This window comes from Homo sapiens, chromosome 1 (genome assembly GCF_000001405.40).
Source record: "Homo sapiens chromosome 1, GRCh38.p14 Primary Assembly".
Lineage (NCBI taxonomy): Eukaryota > Metazoa > Chordata > Mammalia > Primates > Hominidae > Homo > Homo sapiens.
The window spans coordinates 246,630,364-246,655,537 of record NC_000001.11 but is presented as its reverse complement, the minus strand read 5'-3'; the positions used below and the strand labels follow the sequence as shown (position 1 = coordinate 246,655,537).

General features: G+C 41.3%; 1 protein-coding gene and 3 pseudogenes across 12 annotated transcripts in view, besides 2 other annotated features; 3 read left to right on the top strand and 1 right to left on the bottom strand.

Annotated features, from left to right (window-relative positions):
• The window catches only part of CNST (consortin, connexin sorting protein), a 102,140-nt gene that overhangs the window by 13,058 nt on the left and 63,908 nt on the right, over window positions 1-25,174 (bottom strand). For 9 of the 12 annotated variants that reach the window (XM_011544111.2, NM_152609.3, XM_011544112.2 and 6 more), the window contains 6 exons: window positions 23,614-23,644; window positions 21,528-21,614; window positions 20,951-21,065; window positions 13,768-13,789; window positions 13,501-13,597; window positions 7,501-8,399 (listed from right to left, as the gene is read on the bottom strand). In XM_011544111.2, the coding sequence (XP_011542413.1) occupies window positions 7,501-8,399; window positions 13,501-13,597; window positions 13,768-13,789; window positions 20,951-21,065; window positions 21,528-21,614; window positions 23,614-23,644 (1,251 nt within the window). Of the gene's footprint in view, window positions 1-7,310; window positions 8,400-8,986; window positions 9,008-10,242; window positions 11,027-12,756; window positions 12,807-13,500; window positions 13,598-13,767; window positions 13,790-20,950; window positions 21,066-21,527; window positions 21,615-23,613; window positions 23,645-25,174 lie in introns of those variants that run through there. The other 3 variants (XM_047447913.1, NM_001139459.2, XM_047447916.1) reach the window with 3 other exon arrangements.
• Window positions 7,277-8,476: an enhancer, noted in NCBI's record as "CDK7 strongly-dependent group 2 enhancer chr1:246810364-246811563 (GRCh37/hg19 assembly coordinates)". NCBI's record gives its function as "activates an origin of replication core promoter dependent on BRD2, BRD4, P300/CBP, MED14 and CDK7 cofactors, with strong dependence on CDK7, by STARR-seq in HCT116 cells {active_cell/tissue: HCT116}" and the evidence as "EXISTENCE:reporter gene assay evidence [ECO:0000049][PMID:35650434]".
• On the top strand, window positions 18,493-19,004 carry LOC107985100 (suppressyn-like; annotated as a pseudogene).
• Window positions 19,035-20,076, top strand: LOC100887078 (endogenous retrovirus group 48 member 1, envelope pseudogene; annotated as a pseudogene).
• Window positions 20,256-21,455: an enhancer, noted in NCBI's record as "MED14-independent group 3 enhancer chr1:246797385-246798584 (GRCh37/hg19 assembly coordinates)". NCBI's record gives its function as "activates an origin of replication core promoter dependent on BRD2, BRD4, P300/CBP and CDK7 cofactors, and independent of MED14, by STARR-seq in HCT116 cells {active_cell/tissue: HCT116}" and the evidence as "EXISTENCE:reporter gene assay evidence [ECO:0000049][PMID:35650434]".
• Window positions 23,060-23,287, top strand: RPL7AP82 (ribosomal protein L7a pseudogene 82; annotated as a pseudogene).

Genomic DNA, 25,174 nt, shown 5'->3' with positions numbered 1-25,174 from the left:
CCCATCTAGAGACACAGGGGAAGAGGAGATTAGATGAAAGATCTTTGTGTCATTTGATTAATCTGGAAGTAGACTAATGTCATGGCTCCTTCTATGGCAGATTGATAAAAACATGTCACCGCTGGGCCAGGGAGTACCAGCTGTAAGCAGCAGCCATTTTCCAGAAAGAACACGGCGGTCACCTCAGACCCACAGCACTGCATCTTAGAACACTGCAATACAGGGAGAAGGCAAACAAGGGGAAAAACGCATGATGATGAAGTACATCAATGTCGAATCTTTAAAAGATTCACTTAAAAAGGAAAAAGCCTTTAAAAAAATCACAGGAGTTTTACAATGTGTCTAAGTTTCTAGGTGAGGCATTACCTCATGTTTTTGCAATTTGTTTTGCTTGCTTAAGGGGGCAATTTAGTAAGTACAAAATAGAAAAAGAAATGAGAATGTCAAGATATGATCCCATTTTTAAGGCCCAGAAAATTGTTTAAATAGCTGCCAGTTCAGTTACTTTAAATCCCCTGACCTTGCTGAAATTCTTTAATAGTTCTTCCAGTATCCAAAACTATATTTTTGTTTTTATGTTAACTTATTACGTGTCTCTCCCTCTAGAAAGTAAGCTTTATGAGAGCAGGGACTTGATCTGTGTTCAGCGCTGTCTTCCTAGTTTCTATAATATAGTAGGTGCTCACTAAATATGCCAAAGAATAAAAAAAAAAACACAGATAAGCAATTTACATATAGATAGCACCTAGCAAATACTTGTTTGAGTAATGTAGCTTTTTCACTGAAAATAATCAAAACCAAATCTATCATTAAAGGATATTTATTTTTATAAGTGAACTAAGAAAAAAAGCCTTACTGTGTATAGTGGCTGTTATTTACAACAGCCTGTATTAGCTTTGCAGAGAATATAAAGATGTATTTAACAGAATCCGTATCTTTAAGGAGTTTGCAGTTTGATGTAGAAGACAGTATGTGTGCGTCTTACGATAACAGAGAGAGATTACAGCTAGACAGGACTTTGGGAAGAGTGATGTTCCAGCCTCAACCTCATTTGAAGTTCCGAGGAATTGTTTGAAAGAAACAAACTTCTGGACTCCAGTGATCAGGGAATCATAGCATCAGCTAGCACTTACTGAGTACTGGCCATGAGCTAGGCACTGTTTGGTACTCTCCATGCTAAAAAGCCATGACCTAGATGTGGAGGGCTGGGAAGAGATAGGTATGTGGAAAGAAGGTTGCTCACCTCAGGGTGGAGCTGACATACACAGAGGGAAAAGAGCAAACGTGACGACATGCAAGGTGTATCTGGGAGGTGGCGAGGGGGCCAGTCTGACTACGGTATAGTCTGAGACCCCAGGACAGAAGATGACGTTGGGGAGACAGAGTGGGCCAGATGACAGGAGTCCTGAATGTCGAGTAGTACAGCCTTTATCCTGCAGGTAAAGAGAGCCGTGGGAAAGGAATGATAGTTTAAAAGTGTTTCATAGCAGGAGTTTAAACTCACAGTCCGTGTGTTCGATCAAGAACCCTCAGCTGTGGTTGGTTTAATCTGTGGAGTTTAAAAAAGCTGTATACTTCCAGACAAGGCGTGGAAACCTTCTTCCTATCACTCTACACCTAACTCATTTCATTGACTTCTAATACCTGACTGGCTCCTTGGGTACCAGTTTGAGACCCCAAGTTTATAGAGTGCTAACGTAAGACCAATTTGGAGGGGAGAAGATGAAACAAGGGACAGGGAAACTTATTAAGTAACTACTGCAAAAGTCCAGGAAGAGCAGTACAAATATAAATTAAAAGAGTGATTAAAAAGGAAAAGAAAAAGAGCTTTGCGCAAGAGACATGGCTATCAAGAGAAGCATTAATTAATTAGAAAATGTAGAGGTCATGATAAAAACAAAAGGCAAGGACGAGGCCATTTGGAAAACAGGTAATTCCTGGGTTTTCCTTTGGGCGCTCTTTAGATATCTACATAAATTCTGGGCCAACCATTGTTTCTAAAACCTCTTACATTATTGGAAGACTGCATTTCTTCTATTGTGAGGAGGCTGGACTTCCCCTGCTCCTCTCAAAAGAGCCATTCTGGGCAGAACAACCATGATTGCTGTTTCTAAGACCCTCTTTTGTTCCGGATCCATAGAGCAGCTACCAATGTGATTTCATAAGCGACTACTGCTTAGTGCTAGCCTCCCATCTTCACTTGGCAAGAGAATCCCACAGCAGCTAGTCGTAAAGTAACTTCCCTGATCCCAGTGATCTATCTAGTCAAGAAATAACTACCTCACTTAATAGGCAACAGGGAAGAAAACTCACAGCTTCGATTAGATAGCTTCTCTAAAGGCAAATCCAGGAGCAATCTGGGTTGTCATTTTTCTCCCCACTAGACACTGTGAACTTATGTCCTCCCCTGTATTTTGCTTCATGTGATACAAGCAGTTCTGAAAACATTTAAGTAAATGTTGCTAATCTAGACAGAGGGCAAGGAACATGAGTTGCTCTCTCCTAGATTAAAAGCTTTCTTTTTTTTTTTTTTTGAGACAGAGTCTCACTCTGTAGCCCAGGCTGGAGTGCAGTGGTGCAATCTCGGCTCACTGCAAGCTCCGCCTCCCAGGTTCACGCCATTCTCCTGCCTCAGCCTCCCGAGTAGCTGGGACTACAGGCGCCCGCCACCACGCCCGGCTAGTTTTTTGTATTTTTAGTAGAGACGGGGTTTCACCGTGTTAGCCAGGATGGTCTCGATCTCCTGACCTCGTGATCCGCCCGCCTTGGCCTCCCAAAGTGCTGGGATTACAGGCGTGAGCCACTGTGCCCGGCCAGATTAAAAGCTTTCTAAAGACCCAAGCAGTAACACAGGGCTTCTTCCTCAGATTTTAGAAATAATGAAATTATTTCTAAAAACAAAAATCACTTCAATCTGAAACACTTAATATATTTTTCTGAACATATGACATTTCTGCAAGCAGATTATAAATGTAGATGTTAATGAAGAAAAATGAATGGTTTATCTCCACACAGCATATCATGTTGCTAAAATCTGCTCACAAGGGGACCTCTGAATTACATACTATGATTATTTTCAATGTTCAAAAATAGATTAACTTTCGTAAAATGTATCCAACATTCAATTTCAACCTCACTTGTTCAGAAAACAGCTACCTCATCTCTATGTGTGTAAGAGTCTGTACAAGCTGAGTGCGCACCCCCGTGGGTCATCCTGGCACTCTGAGTTTACATGGCACATTTCGTTCAAGTTTGGATGCTAGGAGCTCCCTCTGAGTCTCAGGCTACAGGAGGAACAGCTGAAGAGTTTAAAGAGAAGATAATGCAACTCTTCCAGGTTCCAGAACCAAACAAACACATGATTTATTTGCATGATCAGGTTCCTGAGTAAAGGGGGTTTGGGTTCTGACACTAAAATCATCACGTCAGTGTATTATAGGTATTATAATACAATTTCATCCTTTGCCAAAAACTATGGGATGTTCAAATTCAGCAAAAAGACAACACACTTGGTGCCAGACGACTGTTAGATTGCAGGCTTCATCTGCATAAAAATCCTTACGTGTATTTTCAGTCACTGCATCTGTAATGCGGCCCTCACAGAGAAGTCACTCAATAAAAATTACAGAATGAGAGAATAAACGAGTAAATCTTTCCAATGTGTTGTCTGACAATGCACATGTGATCATTTTTTTTCTTAAAAATCTATGAAAGGAGGATAAAATTTTTGATGCTTTTTAAAAACAGTATACAGTATAAACTATACTTTTGATGATAACGTGTCATGCTATTTTTTATGTAAGAAAGAATAGCAATACTTCAGATATTAAGCTATCACTTTACATAGCAAATTACTGGGTTTGAAAAAGCTTTCCAAACCTAGACAAGTTCCCTTTATACATGTCACTATATAAATAGTATAGACATTTTTAGTTCTCTGTGACATTTTATGTAAATTATTTCATTTGATCTGATGAATCCAACTGTTCAAAGCAACACAACAAAACAAGTGCTTGCACTGGGCTGGCAATGATGATCAAAACCAAATTCCACTGGAGCCAAGGCTGGGCAATGCAAAAGTGGCAAGAAAATGAAAGCAGACAGACAAGAGGAAAGGGGAAAGCTGGCAAAGAAAGAACAAACCAGCATGCTCTACCACAAACACAATGGTAGAAAGAGGGAAGTAAGAGAACCTGGGCGGGGAGAAATGATAGGGAGATCTGGGAAAGCGAACAGAGAAGGACCACCTGCGATAGCACAGCAGCGTGGAGGGGTGGAGGGGGCAGACTCATTGCCTCGGGGTTCCTAAGTGCAAGAAAAATGTTGTTCATAATTACTTGGTTATTAAGAGATCATGTTCTATATCCTCTAATCACAAACGGAAGGAAGCATAAAAAAAAATTTCAAAAACAATTCCAGTAAAATCAGCCAAGTGTGACAGCAGAGATCCCCCAAAAGGCCAACAACATCATCTGATTTCTCATTGTATCCTCAGCACCAAACACAGGGAAGACTCTTAATAAAATTTTACTGAAAGCACAAACAGAAAAAGTGTTTGAAGGCCAAGCATGGTAGCTCAAGCCTGTAATCCCAGCACTTTGGTAGGCCGAGGTAGGTGGATTACTTGAGGCCAGGAGTTGAAGACCAGCCTGGCCAACATGGTGAAACCCCATCTCTACTAAAAATATAAAAAGTAGCAGGGCATGGTGGTGCATGCCTGTAGTCCCAGCTACTCGACAGACTGAGGCACGAGTATTGCTTGAACCCAGGAGATGGAGGTTGCAGTGAGCTGAGATCGTGCCGCTGCACTCCAGCCTGGGCGACAGAGTGAGACTCTGTATCAAAAAAAAAAAAAAAAAAAGTTTGAATTAAAATTTTATATGTTCAAATCTAAAAGAAATTTTTAAAATAAAAATCCTAAGTTTGCACTTATAAGCAAACCCACAATTGCCTGGATATTTTACTTGGTCCAAAACCTCATTGTTAAGGTATTAGAAAATATTAAGTATTAGTGATTTTTAGCATTGAAACTTTAAAAACTCCTTTCCTGACAGAGTTAGGCAGACTTTGTTAAACCATGCTTTTCAGAATAGCGAGGGTAGTAAGTATTCAGAAAGCAAATGTTTAACAATCTGCTTGGCATTGTCATAGGAAAGTAAATTAGTTTTGTAAGTCATGTATATGTAGCTTTTGGGGTTCTTAAAATAGCTTAACTTAATAGATCAATATAATCTTAGGAAAGGAGACCATTATGTATTAACTTAATAGAAAAGACAACTTTAAACACATGTAATTTCCACTGTTAGCTGTTACCCAGCAGAAGTGACATTGTGTTTTGAGTCTGAGGAGGGAATATTCCATTTAATTGTAATACGCAACATTAATTTAACAATCTGCCACCTTAAAATATTTTTTCCCCAATATAAACAACTCTTTAATTTCTTAGAAATAGGATGACTCAGTTGAGAACAATTTTAAATTTAGTGATGTGGGGAAAAATAATTTGGGAAAGGGATGTTGATCAATTGTAGGCTTTGGAAATACATGTCAATAGATGACTGAAATATACAGGAGAAATGCTACAGACCTTTGATACATCCACGACAAGACCCTTGTGCATCTTCAACACAGCTGAGTAGGGAGGAGGTTGAAGATAAAGGTTACCAAAACTCAAAGAATTGCTCTGGAGGGGACATCTGGCAAACTAGATGATAGAAATTTATCCAGCCGAACAGCTTTCAGGCAGAAGCAAAAATTGAAATTCCAAAAGTTCCTATTATCCTCCCAAATATGAGTTACTGGGGAAAGATAGTTCTAAAAAGGCACACCATATGATTATCAGTGTGTAACTAGTCAAATGTTGAAATAGAGGAAAACGTTTTATAAGGTGGGCAAGACAACAGGAGCTCTCTGCTTCTTCTTCACAGTTTATACCTAAAAAGGTAAAATTAGACCACATGGGTTCTCCCTTTATGGTCAACTTGATTGTTGGCATGAGAAAGGACAGTCAGACAATGGTAACTTTTTGGTATTACAGCTAAGATTTGAATATGGGTATAAGCTTTGTGTTGTTAACTTCCTGTACCAGAGATTTAGTTAAAATGTACAAGAGAATGAATACCGGATTAAGTGCTATACCATTAGCTCTAATTTTTTAAAAAACTATTTTTAACATTGTGGAAAAATATATATCACATGAAACTGCCATTTTAACTCTTTGTAAGTATACAATTCAGTGGCATTCATTGCAATCAAAACGTGTACCATCACCACCATCTATTTCCAACATTTTTCATTGCCCCAAATGGAAATTCTGTGCCCATTAAGCAATATTAAATAATTTTGTTAAGCAAAAACTACGAAAAAAAAAAAAAAACAAAACAACAGTCTGTAGAGAATTAACTGCAAATGGCAACCAAGCTGTCTGGTTAAAATAAGAGAATGAATAGTAAGCCAAGTGCTTTACTATTCTATCTAATTTTGGCAAGAAAAAAATTAAAAAGAAAAGTCATTGTTTATAGAGAATTGACTATAAATGGCAATAAAGGGAGCTAGTAATATAGCAGCTATAATTACCTTAGACAGCTTTTCAGTCTTCTGTTTTCACATATATTTTACTGTCTACTTTGGCTTTGTTACTTTTTCATTTTCCCCCTTATTTTTTCAATGATAATGCTGATTTAGAACACAATGAGTACAAATGGGACTTAAAAGTGAACTTGGGGGGAAAAATGGTGAAGAAAAGGAAAGGCAGCTAGTATCCTAATTTTCAGAGAAGAAAACAGGCTTACAGAGGTAAAAGGTAACTCCAAGAAGCTGTTAACTACCTGGTGGGATTGTACTGGAACTAAGGCAATCGAATTCTGCTCTACCACACCAGGCCGCCTTCGTGAGTGTGCTGTAGTTTGGATATGGCTTTTATCTTTTCTTTTTCCAAACTTTTTTTTTGTATTATCAAACAATGAAAAATGGTAATTTTTCCTTAATCTCTTTTTTCAACTTAATATAAGGTTAAAAATTAATCTAGTACCTCTTATATTTTAAAATGTTCCCTCTATTCTTTAGACTATTTTAAAAGACTTAAAAAATATATTAACAAGAGGAAGAAACAGTAAGTACATATCATATTTTATCTGCTAGATGTATGAGAAGAAAAATGAGACTTCCTTATTAGAATGTGACTATTCTGGTTTTGATTCCAATATCTGGAACTGCCACATAACAGTCAGGACTATAAAAAATGGATATATACAATAACGCTCACTCTAGCTGGAGGCATGCAATAGAACATCTTGTAGTATGAACATTGCAATGATTAAAAGTCATTTTATTCAATACATACAAATGTAAAAACTACTAATAATTAAAAGCTTACGTTAACTAGAATTTTCCCTCATGTTTGAGACAAGGGAAAACTTACAAAAACAAGGCAATATTTAATACATATATATGTTTTTTAAATGCCATTTTACTTTTAATTGTACTTCATCTCTGATTTACCTCTGCAATCTCTATCCTTTTGGCAAGATCATCAAGAGAAAGACAGCTCTCATCAGAAGGCAGATTCTCCTGGAGACTATAGGATGCTTCTTCAGGAGAGAGATCTTGAAGGAGATCGGAGTCGTCGTCTTGGTTATCTTCATAGGAAAGGGAATCTTCAGTATCTTTTAAACATCCTTCTAAAAGGCTGTTCAAATAGTCTTCTGTTTCTTTGTTGAGTTGGTCGTCTTTATCTCCCTTTTCCTCTGGGGCCATACACACCTCTGGAAGCAGTATGCCTAAGTCAGATATTTGATTATTTCCACAGAGCACATTCTCAGAACCGTCTGAGTCAGCCTGCGCCTGTGGTGATTTTCCATCACTGTCTGTAAGATCAGGCTGCTGCAGCTCATTTAATTCATTGTTCTCAAGTTGGTCTGTGGGCAACGCCTCAGAAGCATCCCGAAGTGGCAAACGGAGTTCTTTCCTCTGAGCCTGTGAATATTTACCCTCAGAAATCAATGCAGGAGGTATACGGTCACAGCCTGGTGAAATCAACGGCTCTGTCTTTGACTTGCTGGAAAGAAACACCTTAGGGTCTTCAGCAATGCCCTCTATTCTGGCCACATCCTGGCAGGCCTCTGTTTGAGCCAGCTGCAAGCGACTGTCATCCTCACAAGCATCCTCAGAAGAGTCTGGCCCAGACGGGCTCCCTGCTGTCTCGGAGGACTGGGTGTGGAGCGCTAACGTGGCTTCAGCGCTGCAGAGCAGCTCCTCCATGTGGTCCTTTCCTGCAGTTACCGAAAGGCTTGGGGAATCTGTTTGCACGTCCATCTGATGACAGCAGGGACTGCTCCCCAGGGGCTCCACTGTATGTTGGCTTTCTTTACTTGACTCTGTGCCGAGACAAGTTTTACTCTCTAAAGATGAAGAAAAATAAATTGTTAAAAATTCAAAACAACACTTTGTATAGGAAGGAAAAGAAGGGACATATGAATATGTGTAATACAGCAATATTCTAACCCTTTCAAATGGAAATTCTGTCTGTTGCATAATAGTGTCTTTAGGTAGAGGAAATACCCAAAATATTTAGTAAAGAATCCTTATACATAACAGGGATTATTCAAAAGCATGTGAATATGAATAAATCACTTAGTCCTCATTAAAATCAACAAAGTCATTTTCAAAGGTTTAAAAGATATTCTGAACTTTATTAAACTTTTACATTAAAATGAAGTTACAAAAATTATTTTCAGCACATTTAAGGCATGGTGTATGGGGCCAGGCACAGTGGCTCACGCCTGTAGTCCCAGCACTTTGGGAGGCCGAGGTGGGCGGATCACCTGAGGTCGGGAATTCGAAACCAGCCTGACCAACATGGAGAAACCCCGTCTCTATTAAAAACACAAAATTAGCTGGGCGTGGTGGCACATGCCTGTAATCCCAGCTACTCGGGAGGCTGAGGCAAGAGAATTGCTTGAACCCGGGAGGCGGAGGCTGCGGTTACCTGAGATCACGCCATTGCACTCCAGCCTGGGCAACAAGAGCAAAACTCCATCTCAAAAACAAACAAACAAAAAAAGACATGGTGTATTAAGTAAATATTTTTACATGATGAACCTCAGTAACACATTCATCATTTTAAATGTAAGAAAAGTAGTACTGGTCTGGTTTACTAAGATTAAAGGAACAAACTCGGTTCTCTTCAAATTTATAATTTGACCATAATACCACTAATAAATGTGTTTGCAAATTACTTGCAACTTTTTTTTTTTTTTTGAGACGGAGTTTCGCTCTGTCACCCAGGCTGGAGCACAGTGGCGCGATCTCGGCTCACTGCAAGCTCCGCCTCCCGGGTTCACACCATTCTCCTGCCTCAGCCTCCCGAGTAGCTGGGACTACAGGCGCCCGCCACCTTGCCCAGCTAATTTTTGGTATTTTTTAGTAGAGATGGGGTTTCACCGTGTTAGCCAGGATGGTTTAGATCTCCTGACCTCGTGATCTGCCCGCCTCGGCCTCCCAAAGTGCTGGGATTACAGGCGTGAGCCACCACGCCGAGCAACTTCTTAAAGGGAGGTAGCAAAGGGTAGCAATAAAAAGGATAAGTTTTTGCAACAAGTAGAAATGGGTTTGAATTCTGACATCTCTTTCAATTTCTACTTTGAGTAAAACCAACTTATTTTTCCTTCACTTTAAAATGAAACAGTTAAAAACCTCCGTGTGAATAATGAATGAGAAGTGCATGGATGGGTAGGTAACAGAGAAGCTTGCTTATCCTCGCTTTATTGGTACACTTAGCATTCATAACTATTTTAGAAGCTTTAACCTTTTTGGCCGGGCGCGGTGGCTCAAGCCTGTCATCCCAGCACTTTGGGAGGCCGAGGCGGATGGATCACGAGGTCAGGAGATCGAGACCATCCTGTCTAACACGGTGAAACCCCGTCTCTACTAAAAACACAAAAAATTAGCCGGGCGCGGTGGCGGGCGCCTGTAGTCCCAGCTACTCGGGAGGCTGAGGCAGGAGAATGGCGTGAACCCGGGAGGCGGAGCTTGCTGTGAGCCGAGATTGCGCCACTGCACTCCAGCCTGGGCGACAGAGCGAGACTCCATCTCAAAAAAAAAAAAAAAAAAAAAGTTTTAACCTTTTTATACTAATATGTTGTTTAACTTAAATAAATAATGAGCCAAAGGTGAAAATAAAAGAGAAAATATGATGATAATTTTATTCCATTTGTTTATTTACTGATACTTTTTTTTTCTTTCTTTTTCACCCTGGACTCCAAAAACATATTGATACTTTAATACTAATCACCAACTGACAATTGAGGCCCATACCATATCAAGCAAAAGGCATTCCTGAAACATTGCCTGCAGATTTCAGAGCATCTGGTGCTGAGGCTGCCACTCAACTTCGGGCTGCTGAGAGGTAGCTATTCAGTAGAGTTCATAGCACCTCCCCTGACACCCTGACTCAAATATCAGATGCAGATCAGGAGAAGGAAGAAGGGGTCACCTTTGGGAGAATACAGCCTTCCTTCTCTCTCCCCACCCCAAAGAATCACTCAAAGTTTGTAAGGCTGCAAGAAAACAAAGGCACCTTTCACTTCCCTTTGGTTGCCTGCTTTGACACTGGGCTTGCTGTCTGCCCCTCCCTCTGTTAAAATGGGGCAAGGTTAGAGCAATGAGGGCCACATCCAAAGGAAAGGGGGCCAAGCCACTCCTCCATGAATTCCAGGTACCCAAAGGTTCAGAAGATGTCCCTCAAAACATGTCCACAGGACTCAGAGACTAAATAAGATTGGGGACCACAGTCCCACAGGCACTGTGAAAGCACAGGGCAGAGAGAACCCCCACATCAGAGGACTGGGGTGTGTTGCTTCCACCTGAGGGTCAGTTACCTAAAGGCTGCAGTTATCTAGGGGAGCAGCTTGGGAGTAACCTCCTCCGTAGCTGCTCCTGCTGGAGCCACCGCACAACCTGGGTTCAGTCATAATCACCAGTCCAGCTAACTCCAACCAGGAGCAGACAGTGTTCCCAGCCCTGGCAACTGGAGGGCGGAGAAGAGCTTTGAGTACAGTGAGATTTAAATGTGAAAATCAAGTTCAGGATTGAATAGGGCTAAGCTCTAAATAATCAAAATGAGACAATTTTTTTTTTTTTTTTTTTTTTTGGAGACAGAGTCTCGCTCTGTCGCCCAGGCGGAGCGCAGTGGCGCCATCTCAGCTCACTGCAAGCTCCGCCTCCCGGGTTCACGCCATTCTCCTGCCTCAGCCTCTCCAGCAGCTGGGACTACAGGCGCCCGCCACCACGCCCGGCTAATTTTTTTGTATTTTTAGTAGAGACGGGGTTTCACTGTGGTCTCGATCTCCTGACCTCGTGAACCGCCCGCCTCGGCCTCCCAAAGTGCTGGGATTACAGGCATGAGCCATCGCGCCCGGCAAAATGAGACTATTTAATAGCTTATAAGTGACTGAAAAGGTACAGAACAGTCTGAGGTGCCATTCTATGAGTAGGAGATGGGGTGATGGACAGCAGCTATGCCACGAAATACAACCACTTACAGTATGGTATCTAATGAACTGAGATACCACTTAAGTGATAAGTAATAAAGACTATCTGTGGGTACAATGTATTATTTACAAAATAGCCTGAAAATGGTTGCTTCATCCCATTATTTAGAAATACTACAGAAAATAATGGGGAAAAAAACTCCACCATAATTTTGGAAAAGGCAAGAGTTCCAAACTACATTCGGAGAGTCACCCACATTATTGACATTTCTCTTTAAAACACTGTTTGGTGAAACTGGAGCAACATTTCTTTCCCCAGAATTTAGTCCATACTCCCTCATAGGGTTATTCCTGGGACATCTGGATTGTTGAAGCCTTTGATAATCCATACAATGTACTTAGCAGAAGCAGGCTGCGTTCAATTAGAAATGGGAAGACCCAGGTTCTAGCTGCGAATCAAAGCACCAAGCAAGTGACTGAAACTTGGTACCTCAGTTTCCCCATCTGTACCACATGACTCAAAGCAGAGGCCAAGCAGGAGGAGGTGCTGCGCAGCAACCATGCTAAGTAAGTCTCAAACTCAAATGCACAGCCTGTAATAGCACTTTTCCCAAGGTGCTCAACACAGAGACACGTTCACACCCAAACTGGGCAGCTTTGTGATATTTTTCCTCCTTTAAGATTGTTATGAAGCTCATTTTACTGTGATTTCTAATATAAAAATGACTGGAAAAGACGGAAGAACAGAGTCTAGTAGGACTGACCCCAGGCAATATCCCTAGCTTGTTTCAGAAGTGAAAAGGAGATAAAGTAAGATTTGAAAGAATAAAAATATACTTTGTAAAGAGTAAAAGGCTGGCCGGGCATGGTGGCTCATGCCTGTAATTCCAGGACTTTGTGGGGCTGAGGTGAGAGGATCGCTTGAGCTCAGGACTTCCAGACCAGCCTGAGCAACATAGTGAGACCTCCATACCCACAAAAATTTTTAAAAATTAACTGGGGCGCCGTGGTGTGTGCCTATAATCTCAGCTACTGGAGAGACTGAGGCGGGAGGATTACTTGAGCCCAGGAGATCGCTGCAATGAGCCGTGATGGTGCCACTGCACTCCAGCCTGGGCAACAGCGTGAGACCCTGTCTCAAACAAAAAAGGGGGGAAAAAAGGCAAAAGGCTAATTATGACATCATCAACACCATCATCATCATCACCATCCATCACCACCATCATCACCATCATCATATCACTTCAGGGCAACTCATCCAAAACACCTGATACTTCCTCTTCAATATTAGGGCTCTCAGGCCCAGGAACATAAAGCCTAGAAATATATATTAATAGTAAAATTAGGTATCAAGGGAAAAAAACCCTAAAACATATTTATTTATTTTTATTTTCTAAAGCTTTTATAATGAGCAACATGCCAAACATTTAGAAGAAAGCCTCTTAAAATCTTTTGACGTAAGGCACAAGGTGGTATGAAATACATCATAAATGCTTTAGAAATGTATACATACAAACTAAAGTATATCATATGTTAGTAAACAGAAAAGGGGAGAAATTAAATTGCTATAAATTATCAAGATATAGAGTTTAAAATATCTAAATTTACAGAACAAATTTCTGGTAAAGTGTATACAATAACTGTTGGTTTTTAAACAGAAAACAATGTATGAATGTACCAACACCAATTCTATTTCAGAGCATTTTGTACAACCTTTTCTTATTCTGTTAGATATATATAACCACCTACTGAAAACATAAGAATTTTATGTTTTTATAAGAACTTAGATTTTATGGTATCTACTAATAGATGTCTAAAATGTGGAGCTACCCAATATAAAAAGTCTCATTTTGCTCTTTTTCTAGGAGAGGTATATGTACAAAAATGTAAGTGCAAAAAAAAAAAAAAAAAAAAACCAGATCCTTTGCAGCAATTCAGATGTATCACTTGTAAAAGATCAGAAGAGGCAGGTATCTTTTACGTTGCTCCATAGCTTAAGTTAAAAACATACCTGACTCTTTGGTGGTAGCTCCTCCTTCCTTTGGATCTTCAGACACTAGTAACTGCGTGGAGCATTTCCTTTCCTGGGACTTCTCCACAGCTGCTATCTAAAAAGTTTAAAACAAGAAAACCCAACTTTTGGGGAAACTGTTGTATTAAACTAGGAAGCTGAAAATAACTTGGGAAAGGTTTCCTCATTTTCCAAAATAGTCCATACAACAGACATATGACACAAACATTTTTCCTAGAAATATATTCAAAAGAAACAATCTCTTACCTTATGTTTGGATAAAAGAGGACTGTAGGAAAAAAGAAAGAAAAAAGAATTTTAAAAAAATTACAGCAGCAATATGCTTCCAAACAAATGTCACTGAAATGGCTATAAAAAAATACAGCTTCTCTGGATTCTAATATTAGCACAGAACATTTCCACGGCTGAAACATTACCACTGGCTCACATAGTTCAAAGTGCAGCTATATCATGTGTTTATCTCCTTAGATGGCCAACTGCTATTGGAAACCCCCAAAGAAGCAACAAATGCTATATTCCAGAAGAAGAAAAAAAGAAGAATGACAACCTTTTGCTAATAAAGACGATTTCACACACACATATTTTAAAAATTTCAGTTTATGTCATTTTAGTCTAAAATAGATTATGGTTGAAGATAATTTTGTTGGAATTCTCCATGGAAACAGATAACAAAAAGTATAAATATTAAATGTTAGGGAATACCCAAGATAACAGAATGTACATATCCATTAAAGGCACACACAAAAATGCTCATCGCCACTTTATTCATAATATTCACAAAACAAGAAACATCCTAAAAGTCTACTAATAATAGAATGAATAAATTGCTGCATAGTCATCCAAGAAATCTGTACTGCAATAAAACAGAGCAAACCACTGTTACATGCAACAACATGGAACAAGACATACTGATGGGTGCAAGAATCTAGACATAAAAATCTATATTCTGCATGATCCCATTTATATAAAATTACAGGACAGGCAAATATATTGTTATAGAGTCCAGATAGTGGTTACTATTGTGGGTGGGTACGAAGTTGGCAGGTGCATGAGGGAGCCTTCTGCAGGGCTGGAATGTTCCATATCTTGTACCTTGCTCAGAGTGGTAGTGACATAGACATATACGTCTATGCAAAAATTCATCAAGCTTGTACACTTTATGTGTAACTTGAAAATATTTTTAAATATTAAAAAATTTAAAAATGATATGGGGGGAGTTATCCAAATTTTGAAGCATAAAGACACCATGCTCATGTCATGTTCAATAAATATTTGTTAGTGAGTTCTTTATCTGCTGTATGAGCTACACAACAATTACCTGGCACTGTCTCACTATTAACAAACAGAGCTTTAGTTTACTCTCCATGATTCTGAGAGAAAAGGAGAAAAAGTTATCCATAAAATGGAAAGTCTTTTAGCCTTTGTATTGAGAATTCATGTTCTAAATTCCAGAAATTTGCACTAGTTTAAACACTATTGTCTCCCTTTGTCTTCAGAAATCTGGATCTCTGAATAAGGAATTTTTTTTAAAAAAGTAAGTGCCTTATTATTATTATTAGTTTAAAAAATACAACTCCTTGATACAATTCAAGCAACTGAAAATTACCTGGTAAATGCAGCTTTTCTTCTGCAAGATTTTGGTTAGATACTGTATTCTATTTGCTTTCTAGCATCAGACTACTCCTAAAAATGTTATGTTTTTACTACAACACATAAACATTAGCAAGTTGAATCGAAAGCCCTAATACACAATTCTGTCCATCTGAACTGCTCATCTCCTAACCAAAAAGAGATCAAAATCAGAAGTTATATTTTTAAATATCTAATCAGAAGAATCTTTTGAACCTACACAAAGTTGACCTTTTACTGAGTTCAGTGTGAGAAACTCAATAAAAACTGAGAAAGGAATGTAATAAATGAAAGATTCTCCCTGGGGCCTGAAAGCTTGGGGGGATGAATAACTCCTCCCTCCTCAGGCCCAGTCCCAAGGCGCAAGGCCACTTGTGCGACAAGTGCACATCAGCAAGATAGCAGAAGCAGGAAGAGGGCTGGCCGGAAGACACGTATCCCTGAGGATGGAGAGATTGGCCATCCGGGTACCACATAGCAGTTACATCAGACAGGGACACTTCCTGTTTACAGGAGACCATAAAACCTCGGCCCCATCCTCATGTGGGGCTGACGCCATTTTAGGCCTCAGCCCGTCTATACCCAGGTGCTCATTAAAACAGTGTGTTGCTCCACACCGCTTTGTGCTGTTGGTTGGTGCACTCTTGGGATTTGAACAAATACTAGTGCCTTGCACCTGGTGCCGAAACCCGGGCCCTTGCTCACAACCTCTGTACCTTATTCCTAAAACTGTCCACCTCCTTCAATATGTTGATGATCTGCTCCTGTGTAGCCCCTCTCAAAAAGACTGCCATGCCCATGCTATCTGTCTTTTAAATTTCTTGGCAGAGTGGGGGTATCGGGTCTCCCCTAAGAAAGCACAAGTAAGCACCCCCTCAGTCACCTACCTAGGCCTAGCTCTTACCCTGCAAACCCGAGGGCTCACAACCGACCGCACACTGCTCCTCCAGTTCCTCCCACCTCCGCAAACTAAGCAAGAAATTCTCTCTTTTCTAGGACTAGTGGGATATTTTAGGCTCTGGGTTCCTTCCTTTGCTCTACTTGCCAAACCGTTATACTAAGCTACTAAAGGCCCTCTCCATAAGCCTTTAAACCCTGCACAGCCGATTACCCACCCTTTCCGTCTGGTCCAGAAGGCTCTCATCTCAGCCCCCGTTCTCACTCTCCCAGACCTCACCAAACCTTTCTCTCTATCCCGACGAACGGCGTGGAGTTGCACTACATGTTCTAACCAGTCTAAGGGACCCGCCCTCCAGATTGTTGCCTACCTCTCTAAACAGCTCACAACCACAGTTCTCGGATGGCTTGCCTGTCTCCAAGCACTGGTGGCAGCTGCTGTCCTCACCCTTGGAAGCCTAAAACTATCCCTTCGTGCCAACCTAACAGTTTATTCAACCCATAACATCAAAGACATGCTAGCTCACTGCAGTGTACTAAGTCTCATGTCTGCCCCACGGCTCCTTCAACTGTATGCTCTATTCATAGAAACTCCCCAAATCACCGTGCTAACCAGCTCCCATTTAAACCTGGCCATGCTCTTACCTGAAGCCACTACCTCCCAAGACCCTGCACACTTCTGTGTGGACACCATTCAAACCTTTCTTATACTTTTTCCAAACCTAACAGATCAACCCCTTCCAGATGCCTCATTTACTTGGTTTGTAGATGGCAGTTCCTTCCTACATCAAGGATGCCGACATGCTGGCTATGCTATAGTGTCACCCGCCCACACTATTGAAGCCAATCTGCTCCCCCTAGGAACCACCTCCCAAAAGGCTGAACTCATCACCCTCACTCGAGCTCTCACTCTAGCAGCTGGACAACAAATGAACATATATTCAGATTCTCGTTATGTGTTCCACATAGTGCACTCACACTTGTCCATCTGGAAAGAACGGGGTTTCCTAATTGCAAACAACACTCCTGTCATAAACGGCTCTCTCATCAGCAAGCTCCTTCAGGCTGCCCAGCTCCTGCAGAAAGCTGCCGTCATTCATTGCAGGGGCCACCAAACCCCAGACAATCCTATACGGGCTGGAAACGCACTAGCAGATCAGGCGGCCAAACAAGTAGCCCTACAACCGTGCAAGGCCAGTTTCTGTCCCTGTCCTTATTCTTTCCTCTTTACTCCTCAGAAGAAAAGGAGGACTTCCAGGTCCAGAACCTCCAAAAGCAAGGACCATGGTACATCAAGGAAGGGCGCTTCTCATTCTTCCTCATGCTCAAACAATGCCTATCCTCCAAAGCCTCCACAACTCTTTCCATGTCGGCTACAAACCTCTCTTGCAACTTCTCCACCCTATTCTCACTTGTCCTCACCTTTCCAGCCGCGTTCCAGAGATCATCCAGTCCTGCTGTATCTGCCACTCAGTGTCACCCCAGGGCTCCCTCTGGCCACCGCCTTTTTCTAACCACCAAGCCCAGGGCCAGGTACCTGGGCAAGATTGGCAGGTAGACTTCACTCACCTGATAAATGGCTCCATTACCTTCTAGTCTTTGTCTGTACTTTCTCTGGGTGGGTAGAAGCGTTCCCAACAACTTCAGAAGGTGCAAATGTTGTCATACAAACTCTCATCATGTATACAATTCCCCGTTTCACACTCCATTGGGACATCCATGCAATCCAATAACAGGCCCACCTTCACCAGCCAAATCACCCAAGTTGTCTCCACGTCCTTAGGAATGAAATGGGTTCTCCATGCACCTTACAGGCCTCAATCTTCAGGCAAACTTGAAAACATCAACTCTGTCCTTAAAGCTCAACTCACCAAGCTGGCTCTAGAAACCCACCAGTCGTGGATGAGAAATCTCCCTTACACCCTCATGAGACTCCGTGCAACACCAAAAGCACCCTCTTTTTATAGTCCCTTTGGAATCATGTATGGACGAACTTTTGTCTTAGGGCCTCCGCCATCACCAGACTCTGAGCCACTCGGGAATTACTTACCCTCCTTAATCCAGACATGGTCTTTCATTTGTGAAGCAGCGAATGAGGCCATGCCTCTCCCTGCCGACACCTCCTTGTCCTCTCAACATAACTGTCTTGCAGGCACAGACGTGTTTATTGGCCAACCTGATCCTCACAAAAAGCTACAACCAAAGTGGACAGGCCCCTACGCTGTGATACTCAGCATGCACACTAACAGCATGAGAGTCCAAGGACTCCCCAACTGGGTCCATCGTACCAGGGTCAAGCTCACCCCAAAGGCTACTTCTTCCTCCAAAACATTAACAGATAAGTGGTTGTCCAGGCCAGTTTCTTCTACCAAGCTGAAATTAACCAAAAAATTTTCTTTTTCTTAAAACCAAAACACGAGGAAGACTAAACACCTGCTTCCAGAGATGGCCTGTATCTACCCAATCCGATGCTGTGCCTCACTTCCAACCAAAAGTCTTAATACGGGAATATCCCTCACCACGATCCTTATACGGTCAGTAGCCGCCCTGCTGCCCACAGCAGCCCTTCAGAGCTGCTGTGAGTGTTATCAGTCTTTCCACCACAGAGGAAAGATGCAACAATCCTTCACTCACCATACTCATGTCAACAGTCCTTCACTCACCATAGTCATATAGAAAGATCCTATTGTGGAACCTTAGTCGAGGAATGTGTTGAATCAGGAAAGAGTTATTATAAAGTAAAAAATCTAGGAGTATCTGGCAGTCATAATGGGGCTACATGTCCAAAAGGGAAACAGTGGCTTTGCTTCACCAAAATTGGACAATGGGGAGCAAACGCTCAAGTGCTCGAAGACAGAAAGAGAGAATGGATTATAGCCAAAGCAAAAGTCTCAAAACCAACAACTACCCCTGAAAATCACCCGTGGTATTTCCATCCCTTTACACAAAAACCATAAGCAGACGTATCCCCTCCCTAGCCAGGAAAAAACCGGTTTGTAGATCTAGGAGAGGGCATCGCGCTTACCACGAATGTGTCCAATTGCTGGGTATGCGGGGGAGCCCGCAGGAGTGAACAGTGGCCGTGGCATGGGATAGACCTTCCCCCTTAATTACTAGCATTTCAAAACCCCAGCCTCACTTTGAATTCTCAGGAACGCCCGTCGACCTGGACACTTACCAACCCAGTAAGAGGGACGGCGTGCATATCCCGCAAGTGGACTGATAAAACCCATCGTGCCGCAGGTGAAAGCCCCTGTCACCAAACCCTAACAGTCAACGCCTCCACAGCCGAGTGGTGGCCAAGGTTACCCCCTGGAGCCTGGTCTCCCTCTAACTTCAGCTACCTCAATTGTGTCTTGTCAAAAAAGGCCTGGAACTGTACAAACACCACTAACTCTTCTGCCGCATACCCCTGCCTAAGTGCACTATGCGACAATCCTAGGAACACCAGCTGACGATGGACTGCCCCGATGGATTCCTTTGGATATGGGGAACCCAGGCTTACTCACGGCTACCTTAGCACTAGCTTCCTATGCACAATTCAACCTGGATTCGTTTTACTTCCAAAGCAGGCGGGCAACACCCTCGGAGTCCCTGCGTATGATAACCAGAGAAAAACGGTCCTTAAAGGCAGGAGGAAGCCAAAGACCGTGAGAGGACGAGTGGCCTCCGCAATGGATCATCGAATATTACGGTCCTGCCACCTGGGCTGAGGATGGTTCACGGGGTTATCGCACTCCCACATATATGCTAAATAGAATAATTAGACTAAAGGCTGCTCTAGAGATAATCACTAACCAAACCGCCCCAGCGCTGGAAATGCTCGCGTGACAACAAAACCAAATGCACCCAGCAATTTATCAAAACAGGCTGGCTCTAGACTACTTATTAGCAGAAGAGGGTGCGGTCTGTGGTAAGTTTAACATCTCCAATTGCTGTCTTAACATAGACGATAATGGAAAAGCGGTTCTAGAAATCGCTTCAAACATCAGAAAAGTAGCCCGTGTACCAGTCCAAACCTGGAAGGGATGGGACCCAACAAACCTTCTAGGAGGGTGGTTCTCTAATTTAGGGGGATTTAAAACGCTGGTAGGGACAGTAATCTTCATCATTGGGGTCCTCCTGTTTCTCCCCTGTGGTATCCCACTGATAATAAAAGCCATTAAAACTCTTGTTGAAACTACAGTTAATCGCCAGACAATCCAGACGATGCTCCTGCTACAACGACACGATGGATACCAACCCGACTCTCAAGAATACGCCAAAATTTTTTCTTTTTTTCCGAGGTGCCCACGCCACCCTCTATGTCACACCTGAAGTAGTTATGGAGAAAGTTGCCCCTTTTCCCTTTTTCTATAACCAAATAGGAATGAAAGATTCTCCCCAGGGCCGAAAGCTTGGGGGGATGAATAACTCCTCCCTCCTCAGACCCAGTCCCAAGGCGCGAGGCCACTTGCACCAGCAGCGCGCGTCAGCGAGAAGCAGAAGCAGGAAGAGGGCCGGCCGGAAGACACGCACCCCGGCCGGAAGACACGCACCACCGAGGATAGACAGAGAGGCCATCCAGGTACCACGTAGCCGTTACATCAGACAGGGACACTTCCTGTTTACAGGAGACTGTAAAACCCCTGCCCCGTCCTCACGTGGCGCTGACGCCATTTTAGGCCTCAGCCCGTCTGCACCCAGGTGCTCATTAAAACAGCGTGATGCTCCACACCGCCTTGTGCTGTCTGTTGGCGCGCTCCCGGGGTTCGAACCAATACTAGAGCCTTGCAATAATTATATTATATCCATCTTAATTTCTCCAGTTGAAAACATAAAACAAAGAAATGGATACTCAATGCTATAATGCTTCTTCAATATTCTACTCCAACTCATTCTAACGAAATTCTGATATACTTACTCTTGATGTGTTGCACAAATTTTCGTAAGCCGTTCAAAATCTTCACCATTAAATCCCTTTTCTGAATTCCTTAGAGCCGTAACTGTATGTGGTTGCACAGTTTTCCATTTTGTTTCTAAATTTAAAGTATTTGTTAGTCACTGGCTCTTATAAAACATATTTAGGAGCAAAAAAACAAACAAACAGTTAACTAGCACCACTCATAAAGATTTGCATGCAAAATTATCTTTTCAAACAACCCAACAGTTAGAAATAACTAACTTATTACTTTTCAATATAAGTAAATATCATCCTAGAGACTAAATTAGCCAGTAGGGCATGAAATGTGATTAGGAAAAATGCAAATAGTTGCAAGTATTCTTTTCTTGGCATTGATATGAAGAGCAAAATACAAAGAAAAAAGTCTTCTCACAATATAATAGACTTGTGGTAAAAATGCTACTTTCTTTGCAACATTAACTTGTTTATGGAAACATCTATTTTCTGATTTATAAAACCAGGTCAAATATGTTAATTTTGTAGATAGTGACTTGTTGGATTACTGCTAATTCCACATTCCATGTTGGTCTGTACTTACCCCACTGTTCTTGAATGGCAGAAAGATTTGCGAGCAATTGCTCATGATACAATCGTTCTAGCTGAATGAATTTCATTGCTTTCTCATCTGAATAGAACATTTAAGGAAAATAGAAATCCACACTATTTACATTATTCCCATATTTGAAGAACAATGTCCTATAGATGTTGAGAAATTTGCAGCTTACTAAAACATGAGAGGACTCTAAATATTTTTAAATTTAAACATATCTAAAGTAATGTTTCTCTCTTTTTTTTTTTTTTTCCTTGAGATGGAATCTTGCTCTGTAGTCCAGGCTGGAGTGCAGTGGGGCAATCTCAGCTCACTACAACCTCCACCTCCCGGGTTCAAGCGATTCTCCTGCCTCAGCCTCCCAGGTAGCTGAGACTACAGGCGCCTACCACTGCGCCTGGCTGATTTTTTTGTATTTTTAGTAGAGACGGGGTTTCACCATGTGAGCCAGGCTCGTCTCGAACTCCTCACCTCGTGATCTGCCTGCCTCGGCCTCCCAAAGTGCTGGGATTACAGGCATGAATCACTGCGTCCAGCTTTTTTTTTTTTTGAGACACAGTCTCCCTCTGTCACCGAGGCTGGAGTGCAGTGGTGCCACCTTGGCTTATTGCAACCTCCCCCTCCTGGATTCAAGTGATTCTCCTGCCTCAGCCTCCAGAGTAGCTGGGATTACAGGCATGCACCATCATGCCCGGCTCCTTTTTGTATTTTTGTCAAGATGGGGTTTCACCACGTTGGCCAGGCTGGTTTTGAACTCCTGACCTCAAGCGATCTGCCTGCCTCAGCCTCCCAAATTGCTGGGATTACAGGTGTGAGCCACTGCGCCCAGCCTAGTAATGTTTCTTGGTTTTGAAGTAGGTAAATTTTAATGTGGCATATTATGCAATAGCTACTTGGATTCCACACTATCGGCAAACAGAAACTAAAAGAAGGTTTTAATGCTCAAGGAATGTCTGCTGCGGAGTCAACTAAAAGTAATTTAAGGAAACAGGACCACATGGAATCCTGGAATCTACATGTTTCCCTTTTTTATTTCTCTCCTTACTTTCTGTCAAAGAACTATGTGACTCTCTGGTCAAGTGTTTCTGTTTCAAGTCACCTTGATCCTTATTATTTCCCACTGAATGCTTTTCTCCCACAAGACCAAAGGATCACATGCCTAAACAATGACAGGGCAAAAACTTATATGGGTCTTTTGTAAACACTCAATTAACTTGCCACAGTGATTTCCATTATTATCACGTGATTCTACTTCTTTGTAAATGATCCTGTGAGCTTTAGCCTTCTCATTTGTATCACACAGATCTGCATCTTGTGAGGTCAGGATACACTGTCCAACTGCCTACCTTCCTCTGGGCAATGCTCTAAATGCTGACCCAGAAAAAAGGAAGAGAAAAACTCACTGTTCAGCTTTTTGTCTTCATGATCACTCAGAAGTTCTCTCTCTCTCGCTTGCTACCAAGCTAGCTTTGAGATTTACTGCTTTTGGTCAAAATACACTCTTCCACTAATGCCTTCTTCCAGCTGGCTGTCTTCTTGCCTGCCCTATGTCGTAAAATGGGGGTCCCTTACTGCATTATCCAAGGGGAAGGCAAGACTGGGCTGTCTAGTCCAGGACCAATTACAACGACAGATACGACGAGATTCACCATCACGGGGGCGGCAATGTCCCGGGTCCCAAGTCTGTGGCGCACGTTGCCAAGCTCAAAAAGGCAAAGGCTAAAGAACATGCCGCTAAACTGGGTTAAATGTACACTGTTGAGTGTTCTGTACATAAAAATAATTAAAATAATACAAATTTTCCTTCAAAAAATAAATACAAATACTTATTTTAGTAAAATTAAGGCCTATTTATGAAGGTAAACTTTGGATGGTTCTAGGAAATTTTGTGAAGAGACAGAAATTTCCTACATTTTGCTTTCTGAGGTGGTTACACGGGTACATACAACTGTCAAAACCACTGAAACCATATGATCTGTACATTCTATTACATGTAAAATATACTTCAATTAAAAAAAATGAATGGTTCTGTAAGAGTTCTAAAAATTTCTTCCTGTAATTAAGAAAAGGATACAGTCCTCCTCCTGGAAATAGGATTCTGCTATCTGTTAAAAACAAAGAAAACACAGAGAAAATTAAATTAACACTTGGATGAGAAGATAAATTTGAAACAAATTAAGATCTTGAAATTCCAAATGTTTTTGATATCAAATTAAGAAAACTCTTTTTTTAAACTACATTCAACAGTTCAGAAGAAATCTGACTGTAGGCACAGGATGCAATTCTGAAGTTACTCATCTCAAGCAAAGCAGAGACGTTCTTTGGTGTTTACACATCATTCTTCCTACTCTACCTCAAGTCAAAGTAGATTTCCCTGATTCATTAGAGTTTAGGACTCTAAAGAATGAGAAAAATGTTAGAGACTTACAAAAATAGAACACAAATGAAAAAATGATTGTTTATTGTAAATTAAAAGTAGAAATATTCCTTTCAAATGCTGTGAAGCAAACATAAATAAATAATTAATAAAAAGAAAAAGCAGAAATATGTCAAGTCACCTGAGACCTCAACATCCTATTGATTTCATTCCTGTTTCACAAACCACCGGCTGAGGACCTCACAGGACACTGACTTTTTGGTCTGGTCTGATAGTTAAGAAAAGGCCAGGCTGAGCACTAACAGTTGATTAATATTGTTTAGAATATGTACAAAGTGCTACATATGGTAAAGAACACTAGATAAAGAGATCCAAGACTCAGGAGCTGGTCTCAGTTCAGGCTTGTCAGTTATCAGATTCATTCTAAGACATCTTTACATTTAAAGATTCTTTGATTCTAAAAACTTTGGGATATTTTTAGATCTTTATTTAGATATGACATTTATGAACAGATCACTAAAACTAAAAATATTCACTGAAATATTGCATAAACTCTGTATTCTTAAAACAGTTTCCAGCCGGGCATGGTGGCTCACGCCTGTAATCCCAGCGCTTTGGGAGGCTGAGGTGGGTGGATCATCTGAGGTCAAGGGTTCAAGACCAGCCTGACCAACACGGTGAAACCCCATCTCTACTAAAAATACAAAAATTAGCCAGGCATGGTGTCTCATGCCTGTAATCCCAGTTACTCTGGAGGCTGAGGCAGAAGAATCGCTTGAACCTGGGAGGTGGAGGTTGCAGTGAGCCGAGATCATGCCATTGCACTCCAGCCTGGGCAACAAGAGCAAAACTCTGTCTCAAAAAAAAACCAAAACAAACCAAAACAAAAAATGGTTTCCACAGATTGTCTCTAGTAAAAAAAGGTATAACCTTTATACATCACTATCTCCGTTTTCCAGGTAAATTGACGATGCAAAGAGTAATTAAAGTACTTGTCAAACCTATAAGCTAGCAATAAAAAGGAATGGATTTTCCCAAATCCCTCAGGGGAAACAGCATACTTTTAAAGGAAAATACTTGCCTAGTTTAAATCCTACAAATGTGACATTTTTTCCATGAGCCATGTAGATGACTGACTCAGTCATCTCTATAAATGATTAGTTTTCAGTTAATATAAAGTTTGATTCCATATTTATGTTATATTAAAGATTTTGCAAGGGACAAACTGATTTTTAAGAATCTGGTTATCTTTTACCAG